Genomic DNA, 19,040 nt, shown 5'->3' with positions numbered 1-19,040 from the left:
CCAGTCCTTATGCTGTTTTATCCTCATTCTATGAATGAGGAAATTGAGGTTTGGAGAGGTTAAGTGATTTTCCCAAAGCCATAGGCTGATATGTAAGAAGCTAGCACAGCCATCTCATGCTGTAACTTTGACACTATCGCTTCAAGATCACCTCTTGCCTTCACATAGTCAATATGGTTCTCATAGTCTGAATCCACACCATTTACAAGTCCATACTCAATTCTCTCCTCTATTCTAAACACACAGCCTATTACACTCCTTTATGGCTGTATCCTTTCAACCATCCTCATTTCATTTTTGCTCTTAGCCTGATCATTCTGGCTGCCACCAGCAAGGTTGCCCTCTTCTTTAGAGAATAACCTAGTCCAAGTCTTCATTTGCACTCCTGGTTTATTTGTTTGTTTGTGATACAAGGTTCTCACTCCATGGCCTAAACTGGAGTGCAGTGGTACAAGCACAGTTCACTTCAGCTTCCACCGTCTAGGCTCAAGCAATCTTCCCACTTCAGCCTCCCTGGTAGCTGGGACTAGAGGTGTACTGCACCATGCTTGGTTAAATTCATTTTTTATAGAGATAGGGATCTCATTATGTTGCCCAGACTGATCTCAAACTCCTGGGCCAGCTTGATTGTAACATAAATTAATGTATGATTTATTAGACATTAATTTATATGCATTATATATATTATATTGTATATGCATATACAATATATACATTGTATATATTGTATCACATATAATGATACGAAGAGAATACATCCATGCATTCTATATACGTGTAAAATTTAAAAAGTCAATATTGCTTTAAAAATGAGTCCTAGCTAACTAGTATTGCTACAGTCAATACTAGTGCGAATGCATGTAAACAGGAATGAATTGTATAATAATAAGATAACATGTGTCTCATGGTTTATTTTCAACTTAGTCACTTGTGGTTTTACAGTTAAACTATCCTGCTGCTTTAAATTTAGAGACTTCATTTCTACTCTAATATTCCCTCTTTTAACACTCTGAGGATGTTAACTATTATTGTTAAATGTTTTAATCTTATATAACCAAGCGGGTAAGAGCGTGGACTCTAGAGCTAAACTGTTTAGGTCCTAATCCCACCTCCCCAATTATTAACTATGTGACCCTGGGTAAGAGTCCTCTCCCCTCTCTCCCTCAATTCTCTCATCTTTAAACTAGACATAATAGTCTCTATTCCTCTGATGGTTGTATTACATGGGTTAGTATTTGTAAAACCCTTACAACAGTACCTAGCACATTGTAAGTGCTATATTAGATCAGTAGGAAAGTTAGAAAAAAACTAAAAACAACTTCACTTTTTTTTTTCACTAATGTTAAAAAAAAAAAATGAAAGGGGAAAAAGCCAGCTCTGCCCTTCTTGGAAGCTCCCACTGGACCTATAATTCCACAGTCCCAACTCCAAGAGAGTTGTTGGGTGCTTGTTCATTCAATAATTTGAGTGCCTACCATATACTAAAACTCACCATGAATCAGACAAAGCCCCTGCCCTCAAAGGGCTTACACTTGGATTAGAAATCAGAACTCCACCACTTTTTTACAGATAAGAACACTGAGTTCAGAGTATGGCTCTGAGTTCAGGGGTGGCTCACACCTGTAATCCCAGCACTTTGGGAGGCCGAGGCGGGCAGATCACCTGAGATCAGGAGTTCAAGACCAGCCTGGCCAAGATGGTGAAACCCCGTGTCTACTAAAAATACAAAAATTAGCCGGGCGTGGTGGTGGACGCCTGTAATCCCAGCTACTCAGGAGGCTGAGGCAGGAAAACCGCTTGAACCGGGGAGGCAGAAGTTGCAGTGAGCCGAGATCACGCCACTGCACTCCAGCCTGGGCGACAGAGCGAGACTCCATCTCACACTCACACACACACACACACACACACACACACGAGAACACTGACTCCAGAGAAGTTATGCCTTGCTTGCTCAAGGTCACTAGAAGCTAGGTCTTCCTGCAGTTCTCAGTTCGGGTGCCATATTCTCACCTTCTATTTGAAAGACTCTACCTAGCTTTCATGACCTTTCCTTCTTTGCACGCACCACCACCCCCTGCCCAAACCAGGAGCCTAGGTTTCAGAAAAGAAAACAGTGAACCCCAAAGATAAAGTCACATGCTGGGCGTTTTGAACCTTCCCCTGCAAGAAAATGAAAGGTTATTTTTTCTTCCCGGCGTTAACCTTTCCTGTGCTGTGCCGGAAAAGTTGAGGACTTTTTACATTTTATTATTATTATTATTGTAGAGATCAGGGGTCTCACTATGACGCCCAGGCTGGTCTTGAACTCCAGGCTTCAAGCGATCCTCCCACCTCGGCCTCCCAAAGTGCTGGGATTTGAGGCGTGAGCCATCGCGTCCCGTCCGTGGATGTTTTTTTTAAAAGGTTGAGTAGCTTCACTCGGGACCGCAAAGGTGGAGTCCCCGCCCCCTGGTGCAGCAGCGAAGACAAGCGGAGCCACCTGTCAGAGGGCTGTGGGCGGGGGCGCCCGGGCCGTGAGGGCCTTGGAACCGGAGGGTGAGTGCAGTTGAGCGCACGCTCAGAGCAGACCGCTAGCAGGAGGCAGGATGTGATAGTCTAAGACCCTGGAAGCTGACGGCCAGAGGGAGGGAAGGGTGGTCACAGAGGAGAGGCAAAGCAACGGGAGGTGGAGGATCCTGGAGGTGTCTGCAAGGAGAATACACAGCAGCGAGGGGCTGCAGAAGCGGACCCAGCGACTTCTGCGCTGACGCGGGGCGGGCGGGAGAGAGGAAGAGAGGGGAGCGCGGTGGCGCTGCGAGCTGGCCCCGCCGGGGAAGGGGCTGCCATGTCCCGTGAGCGGCCCCCGGGCACCGACATTCCCCGCAACCTGAGCTTCATCGCCGCGCTAACGGAGCGCGCCTACTACCGTAGCCAGCGGCCCAGCCTCGAGGAGGAGCCGGAGGAGGAGCCAGGCGAGGGCGGGACGCGGTTCGGGGCCCGATCCCGCGCTCACGCACCGAGTCGGGGCCGCCGGGCCCGATCTGCACCAGCCGGAGGCGGCGGGGCCCGGGCGCCCCGCAGCCGTAGCCCAGACACCCGCAAGAGAGTGCGTTTCGCCGACGCACTGGGGTTGGAGCTGGCTGTCGTGCGCCGCTTCCGTCCCGGTGAGCTGCCCCGGGTGCCCCGCCACGTGCAGATCCAATTGCAGAGGGACGCCCTCCGCCACTTCGCGCCCTGCCAGCCCCGCGCCCGCGGCCTCCAGGTAGGCGGCGGGGGCACCTCCCCTCCTGGGGACCTCCTCCAGTCGGCCGCAGCGGGCTTGTGGGAGTGGATTTGCCAAAGAGCACCCATCTCCATCCCATCCCTGGGCTTGCGCCTGCCCATCCCTTTTGGGGACCCCATCTGCGAGTGGCTCTAGGCCACCCTGGCAGCTGGGCCGCACTCTGCCGGCCTGGACGCCGGGGTCGGCCTCTGATTGGTCCAGTGCCTTGCTCTGACACCGCCCCCTGTCTCTCCCCTCTCTCCGCCCTGGGCTCCCTCCTCCCGCTTCTTCTTTCCCCCAGGAGGCGCGCGCCGCCCTGGAGCCGGCCAGCGAGCCCGGCTTCGCCGCCCGCTTGCTGACGCAGCGCATCTGCCTGGAACGCGCCGAGGCGGGCCCGCTGGGCGTGGCCGGGAGCGCGCGCGTGGTGGACCTGGCCTACGAGAAGCGCGTGAGCGTGCGCTGGAGCGCCGACGGCTGGCGGAGCCAACGCGAGGCGCCAGCCGCCTACGCCGGTCCGGCCCCGCCCCCGCCGCGCGCCGACCGCTTCGCCTTCCGCCTGCCCGCGCCGCCGATTGGGGGCGCCCTGCTCTTCGCCTTGCGCTACCGTGTGACAGGTCACGAGTTCTGGGACAACAACGGCGGCCGTGACTATGCTCTACGTGGGCCCGAGCACCCGGGCAGTGGCGGAGCTCCGGAGCCGCAGGGCTGGATCCACTTTATCTGAGACGAGGCGCCTGCGGCCGACGGCGGAAAACACCAAAGGCACCCGGGGGCGGGGCGACCCGATGTGGCGGGGAGGAGTAGGAGAGACCAGGATTGGCGGGAGCGGTCCAAGGGAGTCAAGCCGGGGAGGGCGAAAAGGGTGGGGAAATCAGGGGCGTGGGGGCGTGGGGGCGTGGGGGCGGGGGGAGTGAGCGGAACCAAAGAAGCTCCGGGAGATCCGGGTGTTAAAAGCTGGTTGGATGTGAGTGGAAGGAACTCAGAATATAGGAGGAAGGAGACCCGAAACGGCACCGGAGGGATTATAAAAAAAGGAAAAGAATGGGGATGATGGTGGCCTTCCCTTCAGTGAGTGGGCTCTGGGAGAAAGGGAGGAGGTCCATCAGGCCTAGGCGGTTGAAGAAGGTTAAGAACCTTTTGGAGATGGAGGAGGTATGATGTGAAGTAGCCCACCCAGTCGAAGGCATTTACATTGCTGGCGCATTCCCTCTTCTTACCGGCCTTTTCCACCTCAGATCCCCCTGTCCTACCCATCCTAGCTTTAACTCAGCCATAATTGCCTTGCTTAATCCCAGGAACCTGGCCACTGCTCCTTGGTCCTTGGCATTATGACGGGATTCCCTTGTCACCTCTGACAGTTCCTGGCTGCGGTGTCCGCGGACTGGCTGGGGAGTGATGACAGGTAGCTATCAGAGCTCCAGCCTCCAGGCAGCTTTAGGGATTAAAACGGAGGCCAAAGCAACTCCAGACCTGTTTTTATAGCCAAATACTGAGCCTCAGGGGTTGTACACTCAGGGGCTTCCAGGAAAATGCCAGCCTTACTTTTCTGGGGTGCCTTTTAATAACCTCCAAGCACTTTGTGGACTGTTTGTCGAGGGACGGTGAATCAGAAGAATCACTATTCTGATTTCCTTTGTCTCCGAAGAGGAAGTCCCTGACTAGCTATATAACTTTGGGCGAGTTACCTCTCACTTCTTTGTGCCCCAGTGTTCTCCTTGGGAAACTGGATTTAGGTTAGATGACCTTTTAAGGCTCCTTGTATGATATTTTGTGATCTGTACATGGCAGAGTATAGATTAGGAGCCAAATTTTCCAACCTAGTGCTATGGTTCAGAATACATAGCACCCCAAGCGTCTGGCTGGAGCCGAGGATGGGTCCTCCAGTTTTTGGCACAGATGTTCCGGAGCCCAGGAAGCATCCCATAACCAACCTTCAGCCCCACCGCCACCCCCAGCGTATTCCAGAGCCGCTTCCAAACCACAGCCTATCCTCTGCTCCATTTCACTCTTGTCCTCACAGACTTTCAGCCTCCATGCTCTGAGACAACTGTGGGTAGGTACATCTCTGTTGGTGGAAATGATGCTTAAGAACCCCAAAGATTAAAGGAAACAATGTTAAGGGCTTTTGTGAGGATAAAAGATAATGGGTATATGGAATAGAAACATTTCAAATGAAGAATCAAAGCATTTCAATCAATCCACTTGGTTGTAAAAAAAAAAAAAAAAAAAAAACAAAAACAAAAAAACACCAAAGCAACTTGAATAGTAAATGGCACCAGAAGATGGCAGTCTGCTCCATAACCAGAGCAAGTGCAGTGGGAAAGCTGGACTCTCATACCCACTCACATTCATGCCTTATATAAGCCTCTCCTCCTGGTTAACCTTAACAGGGGAGTGATTCCTCTGCTGGTTGCTGTTTTTCCTTTTCTCTTACCCTATTCCTAACCTCTTTGCTTCTCTCTTTCTTTCCTTGTGTCTCTTCCTTCTCTTTTCTTTTTTCTTTTAACATATAGGGTATTTTTTTCTTTTAACATATAGGGTATTTACCTTCATTTTGTTTATTTCCATTTGTTTCCTTCTTCATTCATGTTCATCTCTGCTATTCCTTCTCCCTCCAGAAGGGATGGAAACCCTATTTTCTTTTCTCCAAGACCATGGTTGGTCTGCTTCCCTCACTCGGGCTCCTTGACAGTCTTCTAGAAGAGAGAAGGAGGAAAAGAAGCAGTTCCTGATGTTACAAATGAACAAGGATCTCCCAGGTAACCAGCTCCCCACACCCATTTCTGTTACTAATTTCTCAAACAGAAATTTCTGGTTCCCCTTCTTCCTTATCACTGAGTGAAAGGGGACAGGCATGCACATGTGCCCATACATGCATTCAGAATAGAGTGTGGGGGCAGGGGCGGTAGTTCATTCCTGTAATCCCAGCACTTTGGGAGGCTGAGTTAGGTGGATCATTTGAGGTCAGGAGTTCAAGACTAGCCTGGCCAACATACTGAAACCCTGTCTCTACTAAAAATACAAAAATTAGCCGGGCATGGTGATTCATGCCTGTAGTCCCAGCTACTCATGAGGCTGAGGCAGGAGAATCACTTTAACGGGGAGACAGAGGTTGCAGTGAGCTGAGATTGCACCACTGCACTCCAGCCTGGGTGACAGAGTGAGACTCCGTCTCAAAAAATAAAAAAAAAGAATAGAGTATGAGGCTTGTTGGCTTGTTACCATGCCCATCCTGTCCACAGCCTTAGTCTTTGAGAAAAGATGGCTGAAAGAGAGGAACTCTCCAAGTCATTCCGCAAACAAATGCCCATTTAAACATCATCCTTGTCTTGTGAAGAAAACAGGAAGAATGTCATGTACCATGTGGATCACCTTCAGTTCAAAGTTGCAGCAAAGTGAAGAAAGAAACTACTGGAAGCCACCCAGCAATGCACTGTTTAGTCATCAATTAGGAGCCCATGGGAGGATAATAGGGAGACTGGGTGGAGGCTCAGTGTGTAATAATCTCTTGTCTAATGTATGTGTGTCACTGCCATGTTGTATGAACAATAGTGAGGGCTCACATTTACTTAACACTTGTGTGCGCAAATCTGGGTTTTTCTTCCTTTCCAGAACTATGACTCGATCATAAAATCTGTTTTGTTTGCATGCATGCCCAAAACAACCCTGTAAGTAGAACATTGTCATTATCTCTGTTTTAGAGATGAGGAAACAGGCTCAGAGAAGCTCAGAAATTTGTTCAAGATCGCACAGCTAGTAAATGGCAGAAGTAGGATTGTGAACCCAGGGAATCTCCAGAGCCTCTGTGTAACCATGATGTTATATTTTTTTTCCTCTTTAAAAACAAAATTTAAAACCTTGCTATAATCTCTTATTAGGAAATGATCATAGTTTCTGACTGTGCTCTGCCTTCCCATCCTGCCAATCTCCTGGACTGGCTTGGAGAAGACAGGGGGCCCCCGAGCTTCATCTGTGACTCGAAGGAGTTTGCTGCTGTCTCCTGTGTCAGTGTCCCATCTATGCAGGATCAGCACAGGACCCCCCTCACCTTCCCACTTACACTCTAGCCTTTCCATACATTGGAATTCTCTCCTGGCCCTAGCCAGCGCTCCACACCTGTTGGTGTGCCACCTCCCTCCCTCTTCCCCCACTGGCCTTGAACAGGCAAACCCCCTAATGTCGCCACTAGGTTGGGTCCGTGACTAGGACACCTGCTAGAGGGTCTGTGCTTGGGCCTTTTCTAGGAATCCCGATGTTACTGGGTAAGTGCCAACTCTGTGGGCAGAATGCTAATGATAATCCTGTTCCCTGACCTCTTTCTCAGAAGTACCCTGGCTCACTCTCCCCAATCTCAGCTTTATAGAACAACATTTTGGTCTTGATTATTCCCATATCAAGCTGCCCCAGGGCTTCGGTAAGCTGTTAGTTGCCCCACTGCCTCAAGGCTGGGTCTGGCTGAGCTACTTCTTAGGCACACAAATAGTGGGTGTCTCCTTGGAACCTGACACAAAACTATCAGTGCTACCAAGCCTTGTAAAATAGGGAGGAAACTAATATTTCTTGAGTGGCTTCTGAGTGCCTGGTGCTTTCGCGGCTCTCTGGAGAGATTCCTTGCCCTGATGGCTTTGGTGTGTACTCCTCTCCCAGGACTTCAGCACTGAGATTTTCCCAACCCCCTGGCTTTTCCTCACCTTGGGTTGAGTTGATCCGGCACTACCACAAACCCCACCATCTGCAAACCAACCAAGATTAGGCAGTATGCCCTTTCCGTCTTGCACTGCTCTTCCAAAACTTCCATCTGTATTTCTCACACCCTCAGTAAGCAAAGCTGAGTGTGCATGGACAGAGCTGCATCCACTGCTTTCTCCCAGCGGGTGCAGTCTAATCTGACACGGGGAACACTAGGAGTTTAGCGGAATCTTCAGCCACCCTATTAATGTGTTACGCATTAGGCATTGTAGTGGAAACTCCTCTGATGGCTCATGACTATATGAACAGGAGCAATTTGGAATATAACATGTCAGCTGTGGACTGGGAAGTGCCGTGAGAGAAAACACTACCTGGGTCATAGGCTTGGGTCCCTGAGGCAACCCAGCAGGGACACTGTTGCCCATTCCTCTCATCCAGACTGCAGGTGTCTTCCTACACCTCCCTGTCCCATAGCCTCCGTCCTGTTTTTTGTTTGTTTGTTTTTCTTTGTGAATGTAGAAAAACATTTCATCATGAGCCCTAGCTCCTCAGTTTTCCACCTAACACCCACATTCCCTTGTTTCTAACTGCCGTGTTTTTCTGGAGCCTGCTGGGATCTTTGCAGTTTGCAGGTCATAGAATCAGACATGAAAAGGCTTCTCTTCCGACGTCATTGGTTCCTGGCTCCTTTACAGATGAGAACACAGGTCCAGAGGTGAGAAATGACTCTAGCAGGGTCATAGAATTTGTTAGTGCAGCTCAAGATGGGACTTAAACTCAGGCCTCCTGATCACCCATTCCCAGGCTAGGAAACAGGTCTCTGCTCGGTGTGGTGGTTCATACCTGTAATCGCAACACTTTGGGAGGCTGAGGCAGGAGCATTGCTTGAGCCCAGGAGTTCGAGACCAGTCTGAGCAACATAGTGGGACCCTGTCTCTACAAAAACTTTTAAAATTAGCTGGGCATGGTGGCACACATCTGTATTCCCAGCTACTCAGGAAGCTGAGACAGGAGGATCGCTTGAGCCCAGGAGTTGGAGGTTACTGAGCTATGATCGCACCACTGCACTCCAGCTTGGTGACAGTGAGACCCTCAAAAAAAAAAAGAAAAGAAAGAGGTCTCTACACAAGCCCGTGATTCTTCATGGCAAGGGATAACATCAGAAATGTTTCATTTTCTGCTATTAGTTTCCATTCCTTTCCCCATCCAGGCATAAAGAGAAACAAAAGACAATGATGGTATTCTCTGTGTCCTCAGCTTTGGCACTTTTGTTGATGTTGCTAAGGAGCAGTGACCTTGCTAAAAAGACTGAATAATCCACCCACTGAATAGCTAACCTGGGGAGGAAATGAAAATTTCCTTTGTGGATCTCCCCAAATCCATTGTTGTCACCAGGCCCTCCCAGAACCTCCTCAGTTCCTTCACAGTGCAACCCTGTGTACTTGGCCCGCAACCCAATAGTATTGTGCCTCACTTCACCTTCCATGGGCAACTGCCCTCCCTTCTGGACATAAAACCTCATATTTTAAATAAAGTTGAAATATGAAAAGAAAGTATGTCATAAGATATTCAGAAGTATTGTGTGTTTTGGGCTAAGGGCAGCAAGAGACTCAGAGGCAAGATTCCCTCCTTGACTCAATTTCTTGGTCACCTTGTTTTTTGTGTGTGTGTGTCCAGAAAAATTTAATAAGTTTGCTTAAATTATTATAAAGTTGAACCACTGAAATGTTCACTGAAACATTTTGACTTGCATTAATGCTTTACTTCCCCACCTACATTTACATTAAAAATTCACACACAAATGAAAATTGAAAACTGACAACACCTGACTTCTGTCTCCTATTTTTCTGCTCACAATCGTATACTTAGGTACCTTTTGACCCCATGGGGAAAAAATATCTAACATTCAGAACTACCAATGACAGGAAGCAGAGACTTTTTTTTTTTAAGAATGAAGTTTCCCCCATCATAATGGATTCTTAAGCACATTCTTCACGCATGCGGCGTGCTAGCTGGATGTCTTTTGACATAGGTGTTACACGTTTGGCATGGACAGCACACAGGTTGGTGTCTTCAAAAAGCCAACCAGATAGGCTTTGCTTGCCTCCTGCAAAGCACCACTAAGCTGCACTCTGCAACGGCAGATCTGTTTTAAAGTCCTGAGCAATTTCTCACACCAGATGCTGGAAGGGAAGTTTGCGAATCAGTTCAGTAGATGTCTGATAATGGCTAATTTCACGGAGTGCCACAGTACCAGGCCTGTAATGACGAGGTTTCTTCGCCCTCCAGTAGAGGGCGCACTCTTGTGAGCAGTTTTTTTTTTTTTTGGTGGGGGGAGGGGTGTGTGTGTGTAGTTTTTTGTTTTTTGTTTTTCCTGAGAGTCATGCTGTCACCCAGGCTGGAGTGCAATGGCGAGATCTCGTCTGGCTGCAACCTCTGCCTCCCGGGTTCAAGTGATTCTCCTGCCTCAGCCTCCGGAGTAGCTGGGATTACAGGGGCGTGCCACCACGCCCGGCTAATTTTTATATTTTTAGTGGAGACAGGGTTTCACCATGTTGGCCAGGCTGGTTTCGAACTCCTGACCTCAGATGATCCACCCGCCTCAGCCTCCCAAAGTGCTGAGATTACAGGCGTGAGCCATGCCCCTGGCCCCCAGTTTTTGTATTTTTTTAATAGTCGAGGTTTTGCCATGTTGGGCAGGCTGGTGTCGAACTCCAGGCCCCAAGTGATCCGCCCGCCTTGGCCTCCTGAAGTGCTGGAATTACACGCGTGAGCCACCTCGCCCAGCCGGAGCAGCTTTTGTAGGCAGTTGCTTCCTGGGTGCTTTACCTTCAGTCAATTTGTGAGCAATCTGCTTTGTGTGAGACTGTGAGAGAGACCTCCTTACTTACTCCCCTTCTTCGGCTAGAGCTCAGGGAGCTAGAGATGGTCCTGGTTAGAGAACTACCTTATTTCCTAAAAGTCCTATTCTCATTCTGCTGGAGTCCCCTCTGGCTATGCAAATGCTGAGGGGAAGGAGTTTTGGAGGACTTAGGCAGTCCTGATGTAAGACACTCCCAACAGGATCCTATCATCATTTTGGGTAGTGGGAAATTTACCAGGGCCCAGCTCTTCTCTGGAACCCAGCACCAACTGCTTTAACCAACAGTTAAAGGGAAGAGCTTGGGAAAAGCCCTGCGTTTCTCCTTGGGTGGGGAAATCCTTCCTTAAGAAGACCATCTGAGTTACATTCTGCTTCTTCTTCTTCTTTTTTTTTTTTTGAGACAGAGTCTCACTCTGTCGCTAGGCCAGAGTGCAGTGACGCAGTCTCGGCTCACTGCAACCTCTGTCTCCCAGCTTCAAGCGATTCCCCTGCCTCAGCCTCCCGAGTAGCTGGGACTACAGGCGTGCGCCACCACGCCCAGCTAATTTTTGTATTTTTAGTAGAGACGGGGTTTCACCATGTTGGCCAGGATGGTCTCTATCTCTTGACCACGCGATCCGCCCACCTCGGCCTCCCAAAGGGTTGGGATTACAGGTGTGAGCCACTGTGCCGGCCTACATTCTGCTCCTTAAGTGCTGGATGAAAGAGCAAAGCCCTTATCAAAGGCAACCCCCTAAGGCAACGGAGGAGAAATATGGAAAGGAAAAGCAAAGACGTCTGCCTAATTCAGAATGGAGTGATACATTATAAAAGGAGGGAGTCCTTGAAAAAGATTAAGTTCTAACAGGATTGACTTCTACATCACCTGAATAATGAAACAATCCAATTACCCTCAAAGTAATTAGAATGTTCCTAATAGGGAAGCCCTACCCTGAGAATAACAGATGCCTCCTCATTACATCATAATGGCCAAGTTGTGATGTCGGCACAGAGAATTTACTCTTCACTAAGTGTTGTAAGTGAAACAAGATATGCTGAAGAGCAGAATCAGCATGAGGAGCAGACACCCCAGGAGAGGTAAGTGGGTTCTCTCCATGGCTTATTGTCCAGGGTCTCTGTGGCCCCAACCTCACTGCAGATTTCTCACATTTTAACTTGAGGTTAGGTGTGTCTAAACTCTTTTCTCCACTAACCTTCAGTGCAGCTTTTGCTATCCCAAGTCTATCCGAAATCCTCAATCATTGCAGTTCTTACTAATCAGCTCTCCAGCTCTGATATTTCTTAGGAGACACAGCACAGGGTATTGGAGTATGATTTCCCCAGACGGCACAGAAACTCTCCATATCCATTTGGTTAGTCCCAGGGGTAGATCCAGGTTTTTGGGTGCCTGAAGTGTGCAACTTTTGGAGCCCCCTTTAAGACAAATAAATACAAGATTGGGGGGGAAAGTGAATATTTGTTTTAGAATGAGAAAAGCTGTCAACGAATAATTTTTTTAAAAGCTGTCAAAAATTGTCTACCCGACAAACCTATATATTGCTCTACGTTTTTTAAGCTGCCTGCTCTTTGATAGCCTTTTCATATGATGATTATGTTTTCCTAAAGAGAAAAGTAATTCAGTCTTCCAGAAAGATTTATCATATTTCAAAAATTCCGGCCCCCCCCCTTTTTTAATTTTTTTATTTTTTTATTTATTTTATTTATTTTATTTTATTTTGAGCCAGATTCTCACTGTGTCACCCAGGCTGGAGTGCAGTGACGAAATCACAGCTCACTATAGCCTCAACCTCCTGGGCCCAAGTGAGTCTCCCACCTCAGCCTCCCAAGTAGCTGGGACCGCAAGCATGCACTACCACAGCTAATTTTTTTTTTTTTCTGAGGAGATGGGATTTTGCCATGTTGCCCGGGCTGGTCTCAAACTCCTGAACTCAATCAGTCTGCCTGCCTCGGCCTCCCAAAGTGCTGGGATTACAGGAATGAGCCACTGCCCTTGGCCTTTTTTGTTTGTTTGTTTGTTTGTTTTTGAGACAGAGTCTCGCACTGTGGCCCAGGCTGGAGTGCAGTAGTGCAATCTCATTTCACTGCAAGCTCCACCTCTCAGGTTCACGACATTCTCCTGCCTCAGCCTCCTGAGTAGCTGGGACTACAGGCGCCCACCACCATGCCCGGCTAATTTTTTGGTATTTTTAGTGGAGACAGAGTTTCACCGTGTTAGCCAGGATGGTCTTGATCTCCTGACCTCGTGATCTGCCCGCCTTGGCCTCCCAATTTTTTTTTTTTTTTTTTGAGAGAGAGAGACAGGATCTTGCTGTGTTGCCCAGGCGATCCTCCTGCCTCAGTCTCCCAAGTGCTGGGTTTACAGACATGAGCCATGCACCAGGCCACATTTTTAAAATTCTTGATAGTTTACAAAAATGTTATCTTCACACCTTGTAGTGATAATGTCACAGATTTTTAGGATTTTTGTCAAACTTGTAGTGTTTCAAATTTGTAATAACTAATGTCATATACTATTTGAATTGGTGACATTATTTCTGGAAGCTATGCATATTAGTTTACTAGGGTTGCCATAGCAAAATAGCACAGGTTGGGTGACTTGAACAACAAATTTATTTTCTCAGTTCTGAAAGCTAGATGCTCAAGATCAAGGTGTTAGGAGAGTTGCTTTTTTCTGAGGTCTCTCCTTGGCTTCTAAACGGCTATCTTCTCCCTGTGCCTTCACATGCTCTTTCCTCTGTGTGCACATACACACCTGTGTCCAAATTTCCTCTCATAAGGACACCAGTGACACTGTATTAGAATCCACCCTATAGACCTCATTATTTTATTTCGAGATGGGGTCTCGCTCTGTCACTCAGACTGGAGAACAGTGGTGCGATCACGTTTCACTGAAGCCTCAGTCTCCTGGGCTCAAGCAATCCTCCCACCTCAGTCTCCCAAGTAGCTGGGACTACAGGCACACATCATCACACTGGGCTAATTTTTTATTTTCTGTAGAGATGGGGGACGGGGTCTCACTGTGTTGCTCAGGCTGGTCTCAAGCTCCTGGGCTCAAGTGATCCTCCCGCCTTGGCCTCCCATAGTGCTGGGATTACAGGTGTGAGCCACTGCGCCCAGATCCTAAAGACCTCATTTTAACACAGTTACCTCTTTAAAGATCTTATCTCCAAACACGGTTACATTCTGAAGTACTAGGGGTTAAGACTTTAACATGAATTTTTGGAGGGATATAGTTCAGTTCATAACATTATAACTACATGGGGATACTTTATTCACAGAAGTAACTGTAAAGCACTTAAGTATACCTACTAAACCCACACTAAATGTATTCCTGCTCGGCACAGTGGCTCATGCCTGTAATCCCAACACTTTGGGAGGCCAAGGTGGGCAGATTGCTTGAGCTCAGGAGTTTGAGACCAACCTGGGCCACAAAAAAGTACAACAAATTAGCCAGGTGTGGTGGTGTGCCTGTAGTCCCAGCTACTTGGGAGGCTGAAGTGGGAGGATCACCTGAGCCTGGGGAGGTCATCTTTTTCTTGTTTTTTTTTTTTTTGTTTGCCTTTTAAAATTTTTGTATTTCAATAGGTTTTGGGGAACAGGTGGTGTTTGGTTACATGGATAAGTTCTTTAGTGGTGATTTCTGAGATTCTGGTGCACCCATCACCTAAGCAGTGTACACTGCAAGCAATGTGTAGTCTTTTTTTTTTTTTTTTTTTTTTTAGATGGAGTTTCACTCTTGTCGCCCAGGCTGTAGTGCAATGGCTCCATCTCAACTCATTGCAACCTCCGCCTCCTGGGTTCAAGCGATTCTCCTGCCTCAGCCTCCCGAGTAGTTGGGATTACAGGCGTGCGCCACCACGCCCAGCTAATTTTGTATTTTTAGTGGAGACGCGGTTTCACCATGTTGGCCAGGCTGGTCTTGAACTCCTGACCTCAGGTGATCCGCCCACCTCGGCCTCCCAAAGTGCTGGGATTACAGGCATGAGCCACTGTGCCCAGCCCAATGTGTAGTCTTTTATCCCTCACTCCCCTCCTACTCTTTCCCCCAACCCCAGTCCCCAAATTCCATTGTATCATTCTTGCACCTTTATGTACTCAAATAACTTCTAGGCTTAATTGTTTGTTAAACAATCCAATAGTAAAGATATCCATCTTACCGGAAATGTCTCAGAAGAATAATTTTGTTACTATCTTTAAAAGTGTGAAAGCAACCAGAGGAGGAAAAAATACAGTAAACTTTAGCTCAATTAAGTTTGAGGTTGCAGTCAAGAAATGTGAAATTATTAATATACTGGGTTTTTCTACTGACTTCTACATCCATAATTGCAGAATAAAAATTAAGATTCAAAAATTTCTCTTTTTTTTTAAATTTTACTTTAAGTTCTGGGCTACATGTGGAGAACGTCCAGGTTTGTTACATAGGTATACATGGGCCATGGTGGTTTGCTGCCCCCGTCAACTCATCATCTAGGAGAACTCAGTCTTAACCAATTACCATTTAAGTATATTTTTTCAAACTTTACAAAAACCTACAATCATGTTAACACATTGCTGGGGCTCCTCCCATGCTTTGGGTGAGGTCTGTGCAGGGAAGGACTCTGAAACTTTAGAATCCTTAGCTATAGAATAGGGTTGTCCAATTTTTTTGCTTCCCTGGGGCTACGTTGGAAGAAGAATTGTCTTGGACCTCGCATAAAATACACTAACACTAATGATAGCTGATGAACAAAAATAACAACAACAAAATCACAAAAACTCAAAATGTTTTAAGAAAGTTTATGAATTTGTGTTGGGCTGCATTCAAAGCTGAGCTGTCCTGGGCCACATGTTGAACAAGCTTGCTATAGAGTAAAATGTGCCTCCAGACAGCCCTGCTAATGTCTCACTCATGCAAAGGGAAAGAAAGCTTTCACTAGAGATGGAGTATTAACATCTCTACAGTGAGGATGACATGAGTCCCCATTCTTTAGCAGTGGTCCCTGGAAGAGCTGGGGGAGATTATTGTCTTGCTAAAGTTGGGACCCTTGTCAGCCTGGACATCTCCCTTCCCTTCACTTCCCCACCCCAGTTCATTCCATCCAAAGCTATAGGGAGAAACCCACATAGAAGGAGGAGGCTTCAGCCTGCACTCTAGAACTGAGGCAGGAGAGTTTCTTTTCCCTTCCTGGGATTCCCCTTATTCCTAAATCTGTCTTCGATTCTGCCCCCCACTCCTGATTCTTGGCAGTGTCTTTCTGAGACAAGAAAGGTGACTGGACCATCCACCTTTTGTAATTCCAAGCCCATGATTAGTGACATCCAGAGTGACTCATTGAACCCTCCAGGGTCAGGTGTTTTGTTCCCACTGACGGTTCTTACCTGGCTTTCTAGTCAAACACGCATGAATTCCTCTCAGTCAATGCAGTCTCATTAATTGTTTGGATTATGAGGGAATAACCTCTCCACAGGTAACAGAGTTGTTGCTGCTGCCTAAAATGTTTCACTTTTCCCTTCATTACATACAAACCAATGAGGCATTGTGGATAATCATGATTTATCAAAAGGTTTGTATATATCACCAGCCTTGGTTCAAACCCTAAAGGATCAAAAGTGTCTAATTAAAGCTGATTTATATATGTCTTTCCATTGTTTACCCCATGATGTTTTTTGCCAGATATTAGTTTGAAGGATGTGGAACTGGCTATTAGGAGTTGAGATTGTTACTAAGTGAAATGAGGGAGGAGAGGAGGCAGGGGCAAAGACAGGGATAGCAACAGAAAATAGAGCTCAGTTCTGCAGGAGAGATATGATGCCTGGCCACCTTAAAATAGCTCTGTACCTTAGAATGCAGCAACAAAGAATACATTATGATGGCTTCTTGGAGGTATGTAAGGAGGGGGAGTGGTGAGGTCTGGGAATACAGGACAAAGTCTGAAAATGTTTTATATTATATATACGGTATTACATTACCTAAGTAGGCAAGTATATATACGGTATTACATTAACCTAAGTAGGCAAGAAGAGACTTTTTCAAAGACCAAAGAACAGAAGAGTCACTTCAGAAAAGATTGTTTCCAAGTTTTAGGCACGTTTACTAAAGAAAAGTTGTGGGCCCGGCGCAGTGGCTCACGCCTGTAATCCCAGCACTTTGGGAGGCCGAGGCGGGCGGATCACGAGGTCAGGAGATCGAGACCATCCTGGCTAACACGGTGAAACCCCGTCTCTACTAAAAATACAAAAAATTAGCCGGGCGTGGTGGTGGGCGCCTATAGTCCCAGCTACTCGGGAGGCTGAGGCAGGAGAATGGCATGAACCCGGGAGGTGGAGCTTGCAGTGAGCCGAGATTGCACCACTGCACTACAGCCTGGGCGGCAGAGCGAGACTCTGTCTCAAAAAAAAAAAAAAAAAAGAAAAGAAAAGAAAAAGAAAAAGAAAAAAGAAAAAAAAGTCGTAATCAGAAAACTTACTGAGGATCATAGACTCAGGTCTATAGACCAAAAGCAGCCCTTTAGAAAGGTTCAGTCGGGCGTGGTGGCTCATGCCTGTAATCTCAGCACTTTGGAGGCAGAGGTAGGTGGATAGCTTGAGCCCAGGAGTTTGAGGCCAGCCTGGCCAAGATGGCAAAAACCCATCTCTACAAAAAAATACAAAAATTAGTCATGGCAGCGCATGCCTGTAGTCTCAGCTACTCGGGAGGCTGAGGCAGGAGGATTGCTTCAGCCTGGGAGGTCAAGGCTGCCATGAGCCAAGATGGCACCACTACATTCCAGCCTGGACAACAGAGTGAGACCCAGTCTCAAAAAATAAAATAAAAATAAAAATAAATTTTTTTAAATAGAAAGGTTCAGACTGCTCTGACGGTATTTTAATTTACAGCTTACATACAGGTAGTGGGGGTTCAGTATGTGCTCAGAAGTTACCTCAAATTTGCTCATAAGTTACATTAAAGCAGAATCACATAAAAGTTTGGGTGTAAGAGAACATTTGGTTATAGATTACAGAGGCAACATCCCTAACCCCATTAGACATCATCTTATGTGCAGGAAAAGGCAAGGACTAGGGTCATTTATCTTTTATTATTATTATTATTATTATTATTATTATTATTATTAAATTTTTAGAGGCAGGGTGTCACTCTGTTGCCTAGGCTGCAGTGCAGTGGTGCAATCATAGCTCACTACAGCCTACAACTCCTGGGCTCAAATGATCCCCCTGCCTCAGCCTCCTGAGTAGTTACAAGTGCATGCCACCAAGTCCAGCTAATTTTTAAATTTTTCTGTAGAGACAGGGACTCGCTATGTTGCCCTTGCTGGTCTTGGATCCTAGCCTCAAGCAGTCCTCCCTCTTTGGCCTCCCAAAGCGTTGGGATTAGGTTTATGAGCCACTGCGCCCAGCCCATTTATCTTTTAAGGAATATAGCGACTCAGGCAAGAGACATAGAGGACTGTGTGCCCTATCCTGTTTTGTCTTCAAAGGATCTTTCCAGAGACGTCAGAGTCAGAGGCTTTGTGAAATTATGTTGCCAAACAGAATTGAGCAAGCCTGTCTTCTTACATTTGTTACTCTGTCTCACAGAAGATGGGGAATCCTAAAATACAAATTTTGGCCCATAACTTCATACTGTGTGGGATACTGCTTTGTTGAAGTCCATTTTATTGGCATCCCTTTCTTTTTGTAAGTTAAAAAAAATTTTTTTGAGACAAGGTCTCGCTATGTTGCCCAGACTGGCCTCGAACTCTTGAAATCAAGTCATTCTCCCACCTCAGTCTTCATCCCTTTCTAGCTAGCGAAAAACAAATACTATGGAGAGCTCCGCGTCCTCTTTTCTAGGGCAGGGAGGGGAGCCTGAGGGTCTGGTAGGTCCCAATGAGGTGACTGCTCCAGCACTTCGTCTTTGGGAACATCTGTCTGGTGCCAGTTTGACCCGGGGAACGGCCTAAGTCGCCCGCAGGCTCCTAAGGTCCTCGTCTTTCCGGGTGGCAAGACATCTGATCCCTCTCGAGAACAAGTTCCCAGTTGCTTTAGGCGCTTTGTTACAGCTGACGCTGCTGGTGGCGGTTGGGCTCTCGGCTGGGAAAGGCGCAGCTCGTTTGTATGGCTCCGGAGGGGGCACTGAAAAGGTCTTCCTGGAGGGCTTCCTTCAGAAGGAAACAAATTGGGAGTTGTTGGCGGTCCAGACAGTTCAGCAAAGTGCAGTATCCCTCCTTGGGGAATTTCGGAAGGATCCTGGTCCGGTGTATTCCAAAGGTCCGGCGCCGATAGGTCGAC

At 47.4% G+C, this 19,040-nt stretch overlaps 1 protein-coding gene and 1 pseudogene across 1 annotated transcript, besides 7 other annotated features; one reads left to right on the top strand and one right to left on the bottom strand.

The window, feature by feature from the left end:
• The first annotated feature begins 2,541 nt into the window (after nucleotides 1-2,541).
• On the top strand, nucleotides 2,542-9,749 carry PPP1R3E (protein phosphatase 1 regulatory subunit 3E). The gene is made up of 5 exons (NM_001276318.2): nucleotides 2,542-3,241; nucleotides 3,543-4,103; nucleotides 4,537-4,643; nucleotides 5,860-6,000; nucleotides 6,484-9,749. Exons 1-2 carry the CDS (start codon nucleotides 2,825-2,827, stop codon nucleotides 3,963-3,965), a joined length of 840 nt encoding a protein of 279 aa, NP_001263247.1. The 5' UTR covers nucleotides 2,542-2,824; the 3' UTR covers nucleotides 3,966-4,103; nucleotides 4,537-4,643; nucleotides 5,860-6,000; nucleotides 6,484-9,749.
• Nucleotides 2,756-3,265: a silencer, noted in NCBI's record as "silent region_5605". NCBI's record gives its function as "represses an Ori minimal core promoter by ATAC-STARR-seq in GM12878 lymphoblastoid cells {active_cell/tissue: GM12878}" and the evidence as "EXISTENCE:reporter gene assay evidence [ECO:0000049][PMID:35858748]".
• Nucleotides 3,346-3,405: a silencer, noted in NCBI's record as "silent region_5604". NCBI's record gives its function as "represses an Ori minimal core promoter by ATAC-STARR-seq in GM12878 lymphoblastoid cells {active_cell/tissue: GM12878}" and the evidence as "EXISTENCE:reporter gene assay evidence [ECO:0000049][PMID:35858748]".
• Nucleotides 3,416-3,845: a silencer, noted in NCBI's record as "silent region_5603". NCBI's record gives its function as "represses an Ori minimal core promoter by ATAC-STARR-seq in GM12878 lymphoblastoid cells {active_cell/tissue: GM12878}" and the evidence as "EXISTENCE:reporter gene assay evidence [ECO:0000049][PMID:35858748]".
• Nucleotides 3,906-4,095: an enhancer, noted in NCBI's record as "active region_8169". NCBI's record gives its function as "activates an Ori minimal core promoter by ATAC-STARR-seq in GM12878 lymphoblastoid cells {active_cell/tissue: GM12878}" and the evidence as "EXISTENCE:reporter gene assay evidence [ECO:0000049][PMID:35858748]".
• On the bottom strand, nucleotides 9,601-10,877 carry H3P37 (H3 histone pseudogene 37; annotated as a pseudogene).
• Nucleotides 9,992-10,304: a silencer, noted in NCBI's record as "fragment chr14:23764306-23764618 (GRCh37/hg19 assembly coordinates)". NCBI's record gives its function as "represses an EF-1alpha promoter that drives an FKBP-Casp9 reporter gene in an ReSE screen in K562 erythroleukemia cells {active_cell/tissue: K562}" and the evidence as "EXISTENCE:reporter gene assay evidence [ECO:0000049][PMID:32094911]".
• Nucleotides 10,956-11,820: an enhancer, noted in NCBI's record as "NANOG-H3K4me1 hESC enhancer chr14:23762790-23763654 (GRCh37/hg19 assembly coordinates)". NCBI's record gives its function as "activates a minimal SCP1, AML or CMV promoter by ChIP-STARR-seq in naive H9 embryonic stem cells {active_cell/tissue: H9 hESC(naive)}" and the evidence as "EXISTENCE:reporter gene assay evidence [ECO:0000049][PMID:30033119]".
• Nucleotides 18,760-19,039: an enhancer, noted in NCBI's record as "active region_8168". NCBI's record gives its function as "activates an Ori minimal core promoter by ATAC-STARR-seq in GM12878 lymphoblastoid cells {active_cell/tissue: GM12878}" and the evidence as "EXISTENCE:reporter gene assay evidence [ECO:0000049][PMID:35858748]".

Source organism: Homo sapiens, chromosome 14 (assembly GCF_000001405.40).
Source record: "Homo sapiens chromosome 14, GRCh38.p14 Primary Assembly".
Lineage (NCBI taxonomy): Eukaryota > Metazoa > Chordata > Mammalia > Primates > Hominidae > Homo > Homo sapiens.
The sequence above is the reverse complement of the archived record's forward strand: the minus strand, read 5'-3'. Positions and strand labels throughout refer to the sequence as shown.